General features: G+C 37.2%; 2 gene segments (V, D, J or C) and 1 further gene, besides 8 other annotated features; all 3 read left to right on the forward strand.

Moving 5' to 3' along the window:
• Nucleotides 1-19,447, forward strand: part of TRA (T cell receptor alpha locus) — a 930,229-nt gene that overhangs the window by 480,487 nt on the left and 430,295 nt on the right.
• Nucleotides 2,953-3,007: a sequence feature (TRAV24 leader sequence).
• On the forward strand, nt 2,953-3,456 carry TRAV24 (T cell receptor alpha variable 24). The segment is given in 2 exon segments: nt 2,953-3,007; nt 3,169-3,456. Coding segments are annotated over 2 exon segments (343 nt in total), but the record flags the coding sequence as incomplete, so codon positions are not given.
• Nucleotides 3,169-3,179: a sequence feature (TRAV24 leader sequence).
• Nucleotides 3,464-3,486: a recombination feature (spacer).
• Nucleotides 3,487-3,495: a recombination feature (nonamer).
• Nucleotides 10,033-10,078: a sequence feature (TRAV25 leader sequence).
• TRAV25 (T cell receptor alpha variable 25) lies at nt 10,033-10,641 on the forward strand. The segment is given in 2 exon segments: nt 10,033-10,078; nt 10,361-10,641. Coding segments are annotated over 2 exon segments (327 nt in total), but the record flags the coding sequence as incomplete, so codon positions are not given.
• Nucleotides 10,361-10,368: a sequence feature (TRAV25 leader sequence).
• Nucleotides 10,649-10,671: a recombination feature (spacer).
• Nucleotides 10,672-10,680: a recombination feature (nonamer).

A 19,447-nucleotide genomic window follows, 5' to 3' on the forward strand; every position in this document is an offset into this window, starting at 1 on the left:
AGAAAAAATTCTGAGGCATTTTTCTCTGTAGTGCATGCATCTTATCTTTTATGTTGCAAAAGTTTTTCAGAGGACTCATGTATATGTATATATTTTTATGTTTTAAAAAATTCTGTGTGCACACATACACACACACACACACACACACACACACTCCTTGCATAAGAGTTGATATACAGGCCCACTGTTTGCTCAAAACAGAGAAAGCAAATTGACCTTGTTTCCCTTCACTATCAGGGTGGGTACATTTAGAATCCTCCCTGATATATTAGGCTGTTAAGAATGATAAAGATTGATATTACTAGTTGAGTTGTCCTGTGGCCAAAGTGGGGAGGAAGGAAACTAGGATCATGCACTCTTCCAGAAAGAGAATCTCGTAAGGCTGTATTTAGTTGCCAACAGGCTTGGCCTTTACTTCAGGTCAAATGTGTGGCTATACCTTGCAGGATTCTGTCCTACTATTATAGATAGAGGAATTCTCCCTGCTGTTAGAGGTATATCTTCTTGATCTGGACACTGCTCCTTCAACATGTGGGTGAATTTATCAGTGGATCGGTGTTCTCACCAGAAATGAGCTCCACAGCATGTAGGCTTTCTGAGTGATTGTGGCCATGACTTCACTCTCCTATGATAAAGTTACCTGAATGCTATGATCTTCTCCATGCATCTGGAGAAGAAACTACAGAAAAGAAACTACTACAGCAAAGACTTGGAACCAAGCCAAATGCCCATCAGTGATAGACTGGATTAAGAAAATGTGGCACATATACACCATGGAATACTATGCAATCATAAGCAGGATGAGTTTATGTCCTTGGCAGGGACATGAATGAAGCTGGAAACCATCATTCTCAGCAAGCTATCACAAGACCAGAAAACCAAATACTGCATGTTCTCACTCATAAGTGGGAGTTGAACAATGAGAACACATGGACACAGGGAGGGGAATATCGCACACCAGGGTCTGTCAGGGGATGGGGGACTAGGGGAGGTATAACATTAGCAGAAATACCTAACGTAGGTGACAGGTCGATGGGTGCAGCAAACCACCAGGGCATGTGTATACCTATGTAACAAAGCTGCACGTTCTGAACATGTACCCCAGGACTTAAAGTATGATTTAAAAAAAAGAATGGCTTGTTTGTCTAGCAGCCATCCCTAACCCTAGTCCTCATGCTTCTGAACTAGGAGTCATTATTGAGGCTTCCAGGATTTCCTTTACTACCCATACATTTATCTCCTTTTCTGGGAAGGAAAGCTAGAAGTTAACCATTGAGATACTTTCTAATCCTGTTCTAATTTTTTAGAACGTGATTTAAATGTATGTGGAAAGTGCTGTCCCCTGATTTTAGTACATACCCCATGCTGTTTCCTTTGCTTACTTCAGTTGTTCACTGGAAAGGTTTTAAAGGCACTTCATACACTAAATACCTAGAGGTTAAATTTATATTCTGAAAAAAATTAATGCTATCTTATATTATTAAATTTCCCTTGGATATATCTTATTTCTCCAATTATATTTTGGGCTCACAGGGAATAGGGAATGTTGCTTTGTAATCTTTTTTTCTTTCTTTTCCTCTCCCCTAGATGAGGCTGTAGCTTTGTAATTTTTAATTCCTCAGAGCTCCTAGGGAAATTCAAAGCACAAAAATTACTGTTTAAAAAATACATGCATATTGAATCAAACTAACGTTATATCTGGACTGTGACAGAAGCAAGACAGCATAATTCTTATTTACTTTTAAACAACTTTATTGGAGTATGTTTACGTTCCATAAATTCATCCATTTTAAATGTATGGTTCAGTGATTTTTAATTAATAACTGATTTATGAAACTATTACCATAATCTATTTGTAAATCCTTTTCAACACTCTAGAAAGATCCTTCATGCCAAACTTATAGTTAATCTCTAACCCAACCCTGGCCCCAGGCAACCGGCTTACATCTTTATAGATCTTCCTTTTCTGAACATTTCATATAAATGGAATCACTCAATATGTAATCTTTTGTGGCTGGATTCTTTTTCTTAAAATAGTATTTTTGAGGCTCATCTGTGTTGTAGCATATATTATGTTTTATTTTATTTATTTCATTTTTGCTTATTTATTTTATTTTATTTATTATTTATTTATTTTTGTTGCCGAATATCATTCACATCTTGTATGAACATACTGCATTTTGTTTATTCATTCACCAGCTGATGGACATTTGGGTTGTTCTCATTTTTTTAGCCTTAATAAAGAATATCCACAAATTAGACTTCCATTATTTTTAGAACATATCTAACATGTAAAACATTCATGGTGCATCACAAATGTAGGTGGCATATCAGATTCCAATTATAAAGTCTAGAGCTAGACAGATATATGTTCTAATTCTTAATATGCCACTTAGGTAATTGACCTTGAGTGAATTATTTAATCTCCTTGAGCTTTGGGTTATTTTTTGTTTGTAAATTAGAAACAGTAATGTCTCTATTGCATGACTTTCTTATTAGATAGATGTACATAAAGAAAAAGGTAATTTAGATGTGTGCACATTTATAATTTGAGGGGGATTCAAAAGTTGTTTTTTAATGTTTGAAGATTCAAAGAAAAATGCTTTTCCTGCCACAAATGCCATCCCACCTGTAACTCCCTCTAAATTTGAATAATAGCAGTCCACAGTTAGGCAGCGCACTTCTGAAAGGGTGTCAATTCTCGTTGTGTTCCACACTCATGGGGGATTTCCTCAAAGTTTATGAAGTTGGCCTGAAGAAAGCAGTTACTTCGACTCCTCTTTGTGAACCACAGGAAACTGAACATAGGGCAGAGCGTTTCTAGGACATTTATGGGAGCTGGTCTCTGATTGGCTAGGCAACCAGATGCAGAATCCTGTTTTCTGAAGCAGAATATTTCCACAGATTTTGGCTGCAAAACGTTTTTCTGCTGTGGGTACGTGAGCAGGAAACATGGAGAAGAATCCTTTGGCAGCCCCATTACTAATCCTCTGGTTTCATCTTGACTGTAAGTCCAGGGGTTACAGGAGACATTCTTAGTCTGGGGTGATGATGAGGAAGGAGGAGGATGCAGTCAGACACTCTAGGTTTTATTTGGGGATGTGTGAAGAAAATGCCAACTCTGTAGAGAGACCAATTTCTATGTCTGACTCTTTTTTAAAAAAACAGGCGTGAGCAGCATACTGAACGTGGAACAAAGTCCTCAGTCACTGCATGTTCAGGAGGGAGACAGCACCAATTTCACCTGCAGCTTCCCTTCCAGCAATTTTTATGCCTTACACTGGTACAGATGGGAAACTGCAAAAAGCCCCGAGGCCTTGTTTGTAATGACTTTAAATGGGGATGAAAAGAAGAAAGGACGAATAAGTGCCACTCTTAATACCAAGGAGGGTTACAGCTATTTGTACATCAAAGGATCCCAGCCTGAAGACTCAGCCACATACCTCTGTGCCTTTACACAGTGCTGTTCAGGCACCTGCAGCCCATACGCAAACCTGTGTCTGGTGTTGCACTGTTACCAGCATTGACAAAGAACCATGAGTAGGATGGAAAAGACAAGTTCGTTGAATTACAGTTTTTTTTCAAGAGGATTGTGCAAACATAGAAAAATAAGCATGCTAGTGATCATAACTAACTACCACAAGAGCAAATTAAGTAAACATATTCCTTATGACAGATAGATGTCAGAGTGCTAATGAAGCATAACACATGACCTGGTAACTGGGCCGTTACTAAACAATACTAACCCCAGCTCCCAACAGCTCATTAACCACATCATGGAGTCAGACCCATTGCCTGCTCTTTTGGCATGATTCTGAAAGAACCCAATAGTTACTCAAATCTATCTAAAACAATCTGGGTAAACAAAGGCGATATTTACCCCCTCATTGTTGCTATGTCCTGAAAACGAATTCTTCTATTATACTTTATCACAGCACAAAAGGAGCATGTCGGCATGCCCCTCCCTCACACACCTGGCCTGGAAATATGCATGTTTAATACCAGAACAGGTGATGCTGCCTCCTTTAATCCATTGGGGATTTTGGTTTTGCTTTAGTTCAACTTTTCCCCCACATGAACATTTGTATTTTTATTTCTTCTCACATGTGGCTATTTTCATTTTTAAATATCACTGATAATATCATAAAGGAGCACTGATGAAGGACCTTCACTATTTTACGTGGTCTATACCCCAGCTTGTACTGTGATTGTGATATTGGATGACTAACTGAACTCTATTATCAAAGTCTCTTCATTTGTAATTTCCAGGTATATTAAGTAGGCTGAGTGTTTGGTGCTCTCCTCCTTTTGCAGATTTCCAAACAACCCACCAGTTTAAGGTCCCACTTGTACTCTAGAGGCATCTAATTCTAAGCGTTCTTGGGGGCTGTTAAGATGAAGTAAGTTGCTTCTGGGCCTCCTCATCTAAAAGCTAGAATTTCAACTTTCTCTAAACATCTACATTAATAATTATTTATCCAGCTCCTGTCCAGTTTCCTAAATTATGCTGCTATTGCATTTTCTCTCTCTTTTGTGGATTTATGTTTTTAAAAATATTATTGTTATTATCACATATTTAGGAAAAAAAGCTGGTACATTTTAAAAATAATAATGGAGTGTATACAAATCTCTGACTGGACCCATTTAGAGATATATATATATAGAGAGAGAATTACTTTTTTCAAAATTTATTCACAAGGTAGTAATGAATCTATTTGACTATCAGATCAGAAGCGGCTAAATTTGTAATATTATTTGAACATATATGGAATCAGAAGGGTATAGCACAGGACTGAGTGCGGAGAAGCTATGGTTCATTGTACCCTAGTGTCGGTGGAGAAGAACTACACAAAAGAAGACTGATCACTGTTCCAGCTGCTAGTCAAATTCCCAAACCAGCTCTCCATTATTGGCATAAAGATCAATGGAAGAATTTCTAATATTTCCAGCAATGATCTTGAGGCTTGAACTAACTCTGAATTGGTAGAATCAAAAGGCATGAGTAAAATAAAAGATGAACATCTGACTCATTTGTGTGTGGCTGCAACACAATGCCTCACAGTCTCCCGCATGTCAAGGCACACATAGAAATTAATTACATTCATACAACACTTCAGTGTGGAATGACGCTGCTTGAAACCAGCCCATGACTCCAACTTCCTTGAGAACTCTGCCTGCCTTAAGCCACGATGAGATAGAGATCTTCCCACACACACGATCAAGAAAAATGTAAATCTGTGGTGCATGGTCCTTACAAAAATATCCCTATCTTTATGAAAGCTGTATGTAACCAAGTAAATATGGATGAAAATTTTCAGTGTCTTTGGATTCTAAAACTGATCTGAAATTGAAAATAATGTGTCAAATTCTGATTATTTATAGAGACACAGGCATGTTCTTGTAAATTTTGTTAGTTTAGACACATGGAAAGAGAAGAGTGAGTGAAATATAAAAATGTTAAATAAGAAACACAGATCTCTGTTGATTGCAGGGCCCCAACCTGAGCAATCAGCCACCTGCTCCTGTACTGTGGCTGCACAGAGCTCTTGTTACCTCTGATCATTGCCACCAGGTCTTCTGTGCCAGTGCAGAAGCACAAGGCTGGCTTTTGAAAAGAAGTTTGGTGAAACAGGCAGATGTTTCAGATCAAGCTATTAGAGACTAGCAGAAATCAGCCAGAGGAAGCATACATTTTTATTGTTGATTTCTCACAAGTTCTCAAAAAGACTATTTTTCATTGAACTCCAGAGCTTTTGTGGCTTGCTGAATAACAAACTGTTGTACAACTCACTTAAGCAAGTGCCATTTTACTATCTCATGATACTTCTGCTCCTTGTGATGCTGACTGCAGCTAGGGTCCTCTGGGGGCTTGCCTGACTAGAACCCCTGGAGCTCACTTCCATACCCGGAGCCTTGGTGGGAATGCGGAAGGCTGGGCTCATCTCTCATCCCAACTATTCTCAGGGCTTTCATTACACATGGCCTCTGCATGTGGTCTCTCATCAAGATCTCTCTAGGGCTTCCAATATTACAAAAGTGGAAGGTGCCAGGCCTTTTTAATGTTTAGGCCAGAACTGCCACAATATTATTTCTACTGCATTCTCATGCATACATAAGAACCATGAATGTGACATTACTTGGAAAAGGGGCCTCTGTAAATATAATTAAAATTGAGTCATAGAGCCAACCCAGAGTCAACATAGAAGGGAAATACACAAGGGCATGAATATCAGAAGCACGATTTTGAGGGCATCTTTGGATACTAACTCCCACAAGAGCTAACTAAGTAAACATATTCCTATGCCAGATAGATATCAGAGTGCTAATGAAGCATAACACATGACCTTGATAATCCAGTAATTATCAAGGTCATGTCAATTTGAACTTCCAAATACTGCTCGTATCTGTTTCTCTATTTCTATATTGCTTACTGCTTTCCTAATTTAGGCATTCAGCACCTCTCACTTGGATGATTGCAATGGCTTCCTAATTGTCTTCCTGCCTCTATTCTCAACTCTTTGAATCTAACTTCTACATGGCAACTAGAGTTATTATAAAATGTATCTAATAAGATCACTTCCTGCCTCCCTTTGGGTAGTAAGGAACCACTAGAAGTTGAAACTCTGTATTAAAACTACAAGGCCGGCTGGGTGTGGTGGCTCATGTCCGTAATCCCAGCACTTTGGGAGGCCGAGGCAGGTGGATCACCTGAGGTCAGGAGTTCGAGACCAGCCTGAACAACATGGCGAAACCCCGTCTCTACTAAAAATACAAAAATTTGCCGGACGTGGTGGCATGCTCCTATAATCCCAGCTACTCAAGAGGCTGAGACAGGAGAATTGCTTGAACCCAGGAGGTGGAGGTTGCAGTGAGCTGAGATTGCCACTGCACTTCAGCCTGAGTGACAAAGCAAGACTCCGTCTCAAAAAGAAACAAACAAACAAACAAACAAAAATACAAGGCCATCTACAGAATCCTGTTTACCTTCTATTTTAATCTTCCATCCTTCTCTCATATATGTAATATATATATATTTATATTATATATATTTATATATTATATATGTATATTTAAATTCTAACCCTTTATGTGAATATTAAGGGCCTTCCTAAATCTGACCCCTTTTCCCAGAATATATTTTTCCCATTGTAATATGCACACAGGTCTACTCACCCTTTATGGCCCAATTCAGGCATTATTTATTTTTTATCTGAGATTTCATAGAATCTCATAGAATCTGAGATTTCATAGAATAACACTTGTAACATCTTATTATAAATATTTTTGAATCTGATCCTCTCTTACAATTGTTTTGACAAAAATATTTGCCACTGAGAGCTATTATATGTTTATATTCAATGGAAATGTTTCCTACTAGGAAATGCAGAGATTCAGTCTAAGAGTGCAGAGATTTCTTTTACTCCTTGAACCAATGCATGGCCAGCTTCCCTTCTCTTCCTTTAGTAAATTTCCACTTCCAACCATAAGATCTAGAGAGAGGCTACAAGACAGACCATGCTGCGAGTTGGGAAAGGGCAAGCTTGACCCGGGCGAGATTCCTCTGTCTGGGTTTATGCCTCCTACGTAAACTGCACCAGTACTGCTGCCCTGGATGAAGAGAAGAGGATTTCTAAAGCCCCCACAGGTGCTCCTTGCACACTCCTTGCTCTTCTTGAATGGGGAAGGAGTCCTTATTGCCTTAAAATTGTTAGCTTTGTCTTCATTTTGAGATCCAAATCCAATATTCCTACGAAGGAAAAAAAAGCATCCCAGTGGCATGCATTTCAAAAGTTTATCTTAATTCACAAGATTTGCCATTTTTCAGCACATCCGAAAACTGCTTCTTGGTCTGTTTCCATTTCATGCAGTAATTCAGATTTAGATTCACTTTTTACCCTACACAAAATGTTGAGATTTCCGCCATTAATACATTTACAAGGCAACACTTTAAAGACATTAGATTTCTTGTAGTGGGTTGAATGATGACAGAAGATATGTCCATGTCCTAATCCCTAGAAATAGTGAATGTGGTGTTATTTGAAAAAGGGTCTTTGCAAATGTAATTGAGTTAAGAATATCAAGTTAAGATCACCCTGGATTATTCAGGTAGGCCCTAAATCCAATGACAACTGTTCTTTTTTTTTTTTTTTTTTTTTTTTTTTTTTTTTTTTTTGTTGAGACGGAGTCTCGTTCTGTCGCCCAGGCGGGAGTGCTGTGGCGCGATCTCCGCTCACTGCAAGCTCCGCCTTCCGGGTTCACGCCATTCTCCTGCCTCAGCCTCCCGAGTAGCTGGGACTACAGGCGCCCGCCACTGCGCCCGGCTAATTTTTTGTATTTTTAGTAGAGACGGGGTTTCACCGTGGTCTCGATCTCCTGACCTCGTGATCCGCCCGCCTCGGCCTCCCAAAGTGCTGGGATTACAGGCGTGAGCCACCGCGCCCGGCCGACAACTGTTCTTTTAAGAAACACACGGATGAGGCTGGGCACATTGGCTCATGCCTGTAATCCCAGCACTTTGGGAGGCTGAGGCGGGCGAATCACCTGAGGTCAGGAGTTCGAGACTAGCCTGGCCAACATGGTGAAACCCTGTCTTTACTAAAAATACAAAAATTAGCCAGGCATGGTGATGCACACCTGTAATCACAGCTACTCGGGAGGCTGAGGCAGGAGAATCGCTTGAACCTGGGAGGTGGAGGTTGCTGTGAGCCACTGCACTCCAGCCTGGGTAACATAGTGAGACTCTGTCTCAGGAAAAAAAAAAAAAAAAAAAAAGAAGCACACAGATGAGAAGGCCATCTAAAGACAGCGGGGTAGAGGTTGCAATTATGCAGCCACATCCAAGGGATGCCTGGAGCCACCGGAGGCTGGAAAAGATGAGGAAGGATCCTCCCCTAGAACGTTCAGAGGGAACATGGCCCTGCTGACACCTTAATTTCAGACTTCTGGCCTCTAGGGGTATAAAGAAAATACATTTTTGTCAAGCCACCAAGTTTGTTTGCTACGGCAACCCTAGGAAAGTAGTATCTCCTAAAGGTGATATTTCTAAATAGCTACAACCAAACCTTGATTGTTTTTATAGAAGGGCACATTGTCAACCAATACCATTTGAATATGGTATTGATATGGTTCTAATATTTTAATACTTTTTGGAATATTTTAAGTTTAAATCGTGACACAGTGTATATACAAACACACACTTTTTTTTTTTATCATTTAATGAACACCTGAGTATCCACAATTTACCCGCTATTAGAGTAGGACATGTTGGTGAATAATAGACAAATACTTTCCAATAGAAATTGATTATCTGTTAGATAAGACTTTTTTTCTAATTATATTAATGTCTTCCCTCATCACGCTGGCATGTGTAAAAGTAACATAGTGGGATGGCAGACATGATCTCTAAATTGGATAATTTACCAGGGAAATCAGGGTGACGAAAGAGAAATTTGTATTTCTTATCGTCTGTTTTGAGGTAATGCGTTGTCTAACAATAAATCACAAGTGTCTCCCACATTTATTAAAAAGTCTGTGACCTAATATGTCCCATTAAGGCACTTATAAGCATGTGCTACATGGCACAACATGATGCTTAGTGACAATGGAAGCGACAAAATGGAACTTTCTCTTTTCTTCGGATGCCCTAGTTTTAAATCACAGACTCCATTTTTAAGAGGCAAATTATTCCTCCTTGAACAATGTCACCATCAGTAAACTCTTTTCTTCCAATCCTTGACACACATACATACCACCTAAATTAGAAAGCAGCTTTATTAATAAAATAATCTGTTGTCAAATCAGCAATGTTTGAGTCCACCACAGGGGGGCAGCATCGGCAAACATAGACTCTCCTCTGAGAGGGTGGGCAAAATAGTGTGATTGGTTTTCTCAACTTGCAGTCACCTCTTTCCCTTTCTTTCCAAAATGCACACATCTACTTTCCAAAATAGACCGCAACTATTTCTATTGATCTGGAAGAAGCTTGTACCAGGCAACCCATTTAGGAGAAGTTGGATGAAGAGGGAGAGGGAGATGCTACTCATCACATCAATGTTGGTCTTATGGATGCAATTGTCACGTGAGTTTGAGACGTCCCTGACTGCTTCCAGAGAATAAATCCAACAGGATAGAGAAGTATCTGCAGGCAGGGAATGGACTTTCTGTTTGAGAAACAAGAGTTAAGACAAAGGGAGAGAAACAGAGAGAAAGAGACAGAATGGATAAAGGTTGAGGGAGATGGGAAGGGAGACGTGGACAGAAAGGGGAAAAAAGAAAAGAGGAGTGAGAGAGACCTGCGTAGCTCAGGAGCTAAATATCTAATCTGATTTTATGTGATGCTTCCCATTGTCTTTCTAAACAGAGGTGAATGGACAACAGGTAATGCAAATTCCTCAGTACCAGCATGTACAAGAAGGAGAGGACTTCACCACGTACTGCAATTCCTCAACTACTTTAAGCAATATACAGTGGTATAAGCAAAGGCCTGGTGGACATCCCGTTTTTTTGATACAGTTAGTGAAGAGTGGAGAAGTGAAGAAGCAGAAAAGACTGACATTTCAGTTTGGAGAAGCAAAAAAGAACAGCTCCCTGCACATCACAGCCACCCAGACTACAGATGTAGGAACCTACTTCTGTGCAGGGCACAGTGCTCCCCAAGCACCTGCTGCCTGTCTCCAAATCTTGCCCTGGGTCTTCAGGAGCAGATCATCCTACTCTCCCCAAAGAGCAGGCGCCAGAGAAAGCCAAAGTCACAATGTCTGTGAGGATCTCGAGCAACTCCTCCCCATGGCAGTAGGAATGCATGTAGAAATTCACTCTGTTAAGACCTGGAAGAGTTTAGCAGTTTTAGTTCCTAAAACTTAACTACCGGTTTTCTTCTACACAGGTGTCTCAAAGAATTCTAATTGTCTTAGGAAGAATCGGTGGATTTTAACGAATTGTGATACAGATATTTATATAAAAAGTCATCTTTCAGTGCAGTGGTCCCCAACATTTTTGGCATCAGGGACCGGTTTTGTTGAAGACAATTTTTCCACGGAGAGGGTGGGGTGATGGTTTCGGGATGAAACTGTTTACCTCAGATTATCAGGAATTAGTTAGATTATCTTAAGGAGCGAGCAGCCTAGATCCCTCGCATGCGCGGTTCGCAATAGGGTTCGGGCTCCTATGAGAATCTAATGCCACTGCTGATCTCACAGGAGGCGGAGCTCTGGCAGTAATGCTCACCTGCCGCTCACTTCCTGCTCTGCGGCCAGGTTCCTAACAGGCCACAGAATGGTACAGATTCCCTGCCGCCAGGGGTTTGGGACCCCTGTTTGGGTGGTAGCAGAGGTTTCCAAGCAGTTTCTTTAAGGTTTTAGCTCAATTGTATTGCGGAAGATTTGAAAATTAAACATTTTTCATTATGTACACAAAACTTAAAAGAAGTTTACGACCAACTCCCTGAAGAGTCACCTCTGTAGAACTCATCTGCTTCAATGCAACGCAGTCCAACATAGCATAAAGATTATGCAGGCGGTAACCACCTTTCCAGAGAACTGAGTGAAAAGAGCTCTTTTTAAAATGAGGAGTTTAGACGAAACTGGAAGGTGACCCATGAAGAGATTTAGGCATGGTCTCTTTTTCACTCTTCCAACTGCAATTATATTCGCCAAGCCCAGATGAAGCTGATGATTCAAGTTCCGTTAGCCATGTTCATTGGTCTAACTACGGGGAAAAGTCAGCCATAGATTTCAAAGTGTGTTCACTGACTTGACCAATTACTTTATTTCTCAGTACTTACAAAGATTTTTATCTTGGGAAAGAGAGGATAAAAATACAACTGTATTGGAGAGTTTAAACATTAAAATCAACTGAGATTGGTCAGCTAAATGGTCAAATAAAGTTTTTGCACCTTTTTAATAAAAAGTTTTGTAGCCATAAAATTATTGTGATGAAAATTTTGTAACATAGGAATTAAGTTAATTTATCAAATGAACAAAGTCAAATACAAAATAGTACTATGCCACTTATAAAACAAAATAACATATGTATATAGAAAAATATGGATGGGAGCACACGCATGTTTAGGTTAATTTCTAAGAGCACCGTAATTATTTAGTAGTTGTTTTCATCCATTATAACATTTCCAAGGCTATTTCAGAGTTGTGCCAAAAACAGTTATGTTAAAATTATTGTAAAAATTATTTTCTCCTCTTCTGTCATAGCCTTGGCCCTTTTGCACACGGATCCTCTCAAACTGACCTTTTTTTCGGGGGAGGGGAGGGGAAGGTGGGTCTTTCTCCCACAAAGTTTTCCTTCCTTTCTCTTTTTTTCTTTCATACGTTTTCTGTGTTTTTCTGCTACAATCATGCCAAAGTACAAAATAATACTAATTAACAAAATCACAAGCACTAGAAAACAGACATGAATTATAAAAGGCCTCATAAATAATTCTGGAAAGATCAAAAAGTGACCTTTACAGCCAGTAGGGGAGTGAATTCATCCATCAAAACAGCTGCCAGAGATGATTCACATCAGAAGTAAAAAAACAAAAAACAAAAAACAAAAACCACAAACACCACCTTACCAGTATAATTAGGATCTCGTTTTGATTCTTTACCAAATTTAAGGAGAGTATGGTCTGATATTTCTTGGTTTCCCTCACTGATTGTTTCTCTTTTCTTCCCAGTGTATCTTTTATTAAGCACACATGAGGGGCTGTCATCCTTTGATTCTCCAATATTTTCTGTCTGGGAGACCCCATGTACAGAAACAAGGGGTGGACTGACAGTTTCAATTTGACTCTAGTGTCAAATTGAAGTGTTTGGCTACTTCCTCCAAAATCTTTCTTCATAGGATTTTTTTTTTGAAGGTTTTCTCAAAGACTACACCTAACTACTGTACAAAAACACATCAGTAGAGTCTGCTTAAAAGACCTCCTTCAAGGTTTCAGTGAGCATAGATCGCACCACTGCACTCCAGCCTGGGTGACAGAGTGAGACTCCATCTCAAAATATAAAATGAAATAAAATAAAAATAAAAATAAAAATAAAATAAAAGACCTCCTTCAGAAGGCATTAATCATGTCTTTCTTCCTTTTTATCTCTCTTTCTTTCCTTCCTTCCTTCCTTCCTTTCTTTTTTTTCTTTCTTTTTTTTTGTCACATCCAATCTGTATCTCCATGCTGTCTAGAGTGATTAGAGTGATTCTCTATCCTTTACAGCAATGGGGCGCATTAGTCCACATCTCTGTTTTTCTTGCTCACTCACAGGAGATAAGATTAAAAACAGGTAAGGATAATATTGTTTTATGAAGCAGGTATTATAATTTCAAACTTATAAAGAAAGAAATTGAAACCTCAAGATATTAAGTAACTTACATCTACTCACTTATAAGAATGGATAAAGTTCAAATATATGAGAATATCAGTACTGGTTAGGCTACACATCAGCTGGAACTCTCATACATTGCTGATAGGAAAGAGAAATGATCAGCACTTTGTAAAACAGGTTGGCAGTTCTTACAAAGTTAAACTTCACTTACAATATGATTCATCAATCCCTCTCCTACGTATTTAGCCAAGAGAAATAAAAGTTATGTTCGCATAAAAATTTCCATGTGAATGTTTACAGAAGCTTAATTCATAATTACTAAAACCTGGGAACGATCAGATGTCCTTCACCTGGAGAATGGTTAAACACATTGTGGTTCATCCATATGATTGAGTACTACTCAGCAACAAAAAGAAATGAAATATTGACTCATGCAACAACATGGATGAATCTTCAACGTGTCTTGGTAAATAAAAGAAACTAAGTCTAAAGGACTACATATTGTGTGAGTTTATTTATATTATTAATACATATGGGTAGAAGCAAAACTATAAAGATAGGAAACAGATCAAAGGGTTGGTGAGAACTGTACCATAGACCTGTATACCGCAAAAAGTAAATCTTACTGTGTATAAATTTTTTAATAATTAGAATGTGAGTGGAACCCCAAAAGAAATAGAAAGTGTAACAAATGCTTCCAACAATATTATAGTGAATAATGTAAACACAGTGACACTGTCTTTAATGTGGAAGAAAATAACTAACCTAAATAATTTTTGAAAACAGTATTTTGAATAGATATTGTAAGACTAAAGGCAAAAGAATGGCACACAAATACCATTCTGTAGTTAATAAATTTGTTTCTCAAGGGGTATAGGCTAGCAATTCTTAAAGTAATTTATGTGAGCATTTGGATTGAACAAATGTGTATAAGTAAAATATATAATAGATCATAGATCATGAGAGCCAGATTTCTCACTGTTGGGAAAAGTAATAAATAATGAAGGGAGAAATCTATGCAGACCCAGTGGAGTTGAACTCATATTTTTTTAAACATTCATACATATAGGTTGATACATAAATAAAATTATTAGGAGACTTGAGTGCTTTCTGATGCCCAACAGCAAAGGACAAGCCTGTGGTTACTTTATTCAAATTGATTCAAAAGCCTGAAAGACTTTCAGCAAAGTAGATAAGAAATGTCTGGGAAACCTAGGTGGTCTTAATATTAGGAAAGATAACAGAATTTGTGTTGTCACCATATTTAGTTCTGTCAGCGTATCTCTTTGGTTTTTGTATTGAGGTATAATATGCATATAGTAAAGTGCATGAACATTCATCAAATGTTTGTGAACGTTTTAGTTATGCACTTACCTGTGTAATAATCCTCCACCAATCAAGATGCAGAATATTTCCACCAACCCAGAAATTATTTCATTCCTCTTTTCAATCAATACCCACCTCTAGAGATAACCACTATTTTGATTTCTATTGCCTTAGATTAGTTTTGCTTTCTCTTGAATTTCATATTAATGAAATCATGCATTACATTTTATATGTTTCTTATGTTGAATACTGTTCCATTGTATGAATATGTCATCTTGTTTATCTACTTCTCTGGTAATAGAAATTTGTGTTGTTTCCAGTTTGGGGCTATGATGAATACAACTGCTATAAATGTTCTTATGTAAGTCTTTTTGTGGACATGTGAAATTGTTGAACCTTCTTATATAACTTTTATTGTTGTAGTAGAATCTCTGGGTCATAGGACAGGCGTATCTTTAACCTTATTAGAAACTTCCAAGGCATTTTTGAGGTTATATCATTATGGAAAGGAGTTTCAATTCTCCATAACCTTGCTAGTACTTAATATTGTTGACATGTATTTTTAAACTTTTTAATTTTGAGATTATTATAAATTCACATATATTTTAAAAAATTAAGACAGATCATATGTATCCTTTACTCAGTTTACTCCAGTGGTGTAAAACTATAGTACAATATCACAACCAGGATATTGACGTTGACTCAGTCAAGGCACAGAACATTTCTATCACCGCGAGGATGCTTTCTATTGTCCTTTTGTAGCCATATTCATTTCCTCTCTGCTCCCATCCCCTCCTTCATCCCTAGGAACTATTAATCTGTCCTTCATTTGTATAATTTTGTAATTCCATATATGTTATATAAATGACCTTTGGGGATTGACTTTTTAAACTCAGCATACCGCTGTATTTTGTGTCTTGCCAAACTCGAGAAGTTTTTGGCTTTTACTTCTTTGATACTTTTTCAGCCCTGCCCCTTTTCCTTTTTAGTGCTCTGATGAAAGGAATGTTAGATATTTTGTTATAGTCCTGCAATTCCCTGAGGCTTGGTTCATTTTTTTAATCATTCTATTTTCCCTTTGTTATTCAGATTGAGTAATTTCTTCTGTTCTACCTTCCAGTTCACTAATAATTTTCTCTGTCCACTCCATTTTGCTATTGAGCCCATCTGGTGGACTTTCTATTTCAGCTACATTTTTAAGTTCTAAAATTTCCATTTTATATCTTGGTTCTTTTTTATGTATCTTACTTCTTTGCTGAGATTTCTATTTCCACCTGAAGCTTTCTGTTTCTTTATTTGTTTCCAGCATGTCTGTAGTTGCCCTTCGAAACATTTTCATCATGGCTGCTTTAATATCTTTGTCAGGTAATTTTACCATCGCTTTCATCTCAGGGTTGGCATCTATTGATCGTCTCTTTAAAATTCTGTTTGAGATCTTCTTGGTTCTGAGTATATTGAGTGATTTTTTTTATTGAAATCTGAACATTTGAGTATTGTGTTTGAAACTCTGGATCTTATTTAAAATTTTTGTTTTTCCTCCTTTTCTCTGATGCCACTCCAGCAGGGGAAGGGGAACACCGCCTTACTACCTGGTAGAGATAGAATCCAGGGTCCCCATTCAGCCTCATTGACATCAGAGGGCAGGGAGGATCGTCAAACTGCCAGGTGGGGGTTGGACTTCTGGGTCCCTATGTACAGATGAGTCTTGAAAAACATGAGGGTTTGGGGCACCAACCCCCAAGCATTCAAAAATTTGTATACAACTTTTGGCTCCCCCAAAACTTAACTACTGATAACCTACTGTTGACTAGAAGCCTTACTGATAACATAAAAAATCAATTAACACATATTTTATATGTTATATGTACTATATACCACATTCTTACAATAAAGTAAACTAGAGAAAAGTAAATGATTTTAAGAGAATCATAAGAAAGAAAAAAATATGTTTACAGTACCATACTGTATATAGCAGTTCTGTAAGTTTATGTAGTCTGTTCACAAGATGAATCATCTGTCTGAAATTGCAGGCAACTCCAATTGCAGCTGCAGCTTAATATCAAGCAATAAAGTTTTTTCTTGTAAGGTCATGACTTTTCTCTGCTTCTTGGGCGCACTTCCAGCATCACTAGTGGAATTTTGTATGGATTCCATGGTGTTATTCAAGGTTTACACTATTGCACTAAACACAGCAAAAAGTATGGGAGATCGGTGAGAGATGACTTTTTACTGCAATGCGCAAATGGCTAGAGAGATGAACTGCTCATGTGGAGAGAATTAGCATTGCATTTTAAGTAGGTATTCACAAACTTGAGCTCACTGCAACAGCAACAGAAGGTGGCTACAAAATTATTACAGTAGTATAGTATGTACTATAGTTAATTTTATGCAGTTGTGATTTAATACTGCATCTTTAAGTTTGTTTGCATTTCTCTGGACTCCAAGTGCCGCCACATACACTCTGTGTTTATGTGCTTAAGTTTTGATACATTTAAAATTTTTATAATAAATTTGTGTATGTTTTATGGTAGTAAGTGATAAAATAGACTAGTATTTACATGCATTTTACACATTCATGACATATCTTTTTCTTAATTTTATTGATATTTTTAGACTACGTTGTGTGTTTGCAAGTTTTTTTCAACTTTTTGCAAATCTCCAAAAATTTTTCCAATATATTTATTGAAAAAAAGTTCGCATATAGGTGGACCCATACAGGTCAAACTTGTTCAAGGGTCAACTGTAGTCTCCACTGTAATTTATTTTTCTTTCTTTATGGTTAGGGTTTTTTGTGCACTTTTAAAGATATTGCTGTCCACTTCTAATATAATACAGTTGTTCTCCTGTGTCTTCTTTTAAAACTTTATAGCTTCACCCTTCACATTTAGATGTCTGACCCATCTGGAATGTGTGTGTGTGTGTGTGTCTGTGTCTGTGTGTGTGTGTGTCTGTGTGTGTCTGTGTGTGTGTGTTTATATATGATTAAACAATTACTTTGGCATCTATATTGAAAAGACCATTTCTTCCCCACTGAACTGCATTGGCACCTTTGGAGAAAATCAAGTGATTACATATGTGTTCATCTATTTCTGGGCATGATTCTGTTAAATCATCTTTTTAACAATTCTCATACCAATAGACCATTTTCTCTTAATTATTGAAGTTTCACATAAGTCTTGAAATCTGGAAATGCAATTCCTCCAACTATCCCCCACCTTTTTCTTCAAGATTGTCTAGCTTGCTATAGGATTTAAATTTCCATAGAAATTGCAAAACAGATTCTCAAACTTCTACCACAACAAATTTCTAGTAATTTGATTCAAATTTGCTGAGTTTATGATCAGGTTGAGAAAATTGATAATTTAAATATGGATTCCTTAGATTTATAAATATAGCTCTTCATTTATTTAGGTCCTCTCTAATTCCTTTTATTAATGTTTTATAATTTTCATTTTAATGAACTTTCATATCCTTAATTAAATTCATTCATTTATTTCATTGTAAATGGCATTTTTATTTTATTTTCCAATTGTTTTTAGCTAGAATCTAGAAATACAATGGAATTTTTTATTCAATGACTGTGCAATTCATCCATTAGTTCTAGTAGTTTCTTTACAGATCCTTTTAAATTTTTTTATATTCAAATTATGTTATCTATGCAGAAGAAGAATTTTACTTATTCCTTTCCCAAATGTATGCATTTTATTTTCTTTCCTGACTTGATGCCAGTTATTCCAATGCGATAATAAATGGAAGTGTGATAATGTATCTTGTTCCTAACCTCAGAGAAAAAATGTTTAGTATTTTACCATTAATTACAATGTTAGCCTTGGATATTTTTATAGATACCTTTTATCAGATTAAGGACTCTTTTCTACATTTCTAGATTGTTGAGAGTATTCATCATGTGAGGGTATTGGCCTTGTATCAAATTCTCTTGTGTGTGTAAGTTTTGATAAATTTAAACTTTTAATAATAGATTTGTATATATTTTATGGTGGTAAATCATAAAGAAGTTAAAATAAGTTGAACTCATTATTTTGGTTTTTCATCAAGCAAAGGAGGAGAAAACCTTACCCATTATGATCTTAGAGATCATGTAATCTTCTAAAATGTAAGATACTCTGCGAATACTCAGTAGATTGGACAAATACATTTTTTATTCTTTAGAGCTATGCAAAATACTTAATGGTTTTTCAATACCATTAAAAAATCACCTGTTAGTGGCCTCAATTGTCTTCCAAAAAATAAAGGCGAACAAACCAAAAGCAAAAAAGGAAATTGCATTAATTACTTTTCTTCTGCCTTTGTTAATGTAACAACATGATATAGTCCTCCCTACTTTCAGTAATTGCTTGTTTCTTCTTATATTTTCGGCAGTACTGTCCTGTTAACTTACATCTTTGTGATCTGGTACAGAGTAGGCTCTTAGTGAATATTTTTTAAATGAATGGAATATTATTACTATGACTTTTACTCTATATCTTTGTAGCTTGATTTTTCACACCCGTGTTGGGGAAATTTATTGTCTATCATTGAATTTTTGCCTACAAATCTGACCCTGTGTTTACCCCATTGTAGTCTTTTGTTCAAATTCTATTCCAGAAAACTGAAAGAGTGCACAGACAATAATTTAAAGATTTGCTCAGCATAAGTTCTCTCAGTAAATTTGTCAGTTATGACTCATCTACGCATTCATGAAACAAGTAATTATTGAGTGCTTATTCTGTGCCAATATCTCTTTTTTTTTTTTTTTTTTGAGACAGAGTCTTGCTCTGTCGCCCAGGCTGGAGTGCAATGGCACAATC

The sequence above is a fragment of the Homo sapiens genome, chromosome 14, assembly GCF_000001405.40.
Source record: "Homo sapiens chromosome 14, GRCh38.p14 Primary Assembly".
Taxonomy (NCBI): domain Eukaryota; kingdom Metazoa; phylum Chordata; class Mammalia; order Primates; family Hominidae; genus Homo; species Homo sapiens.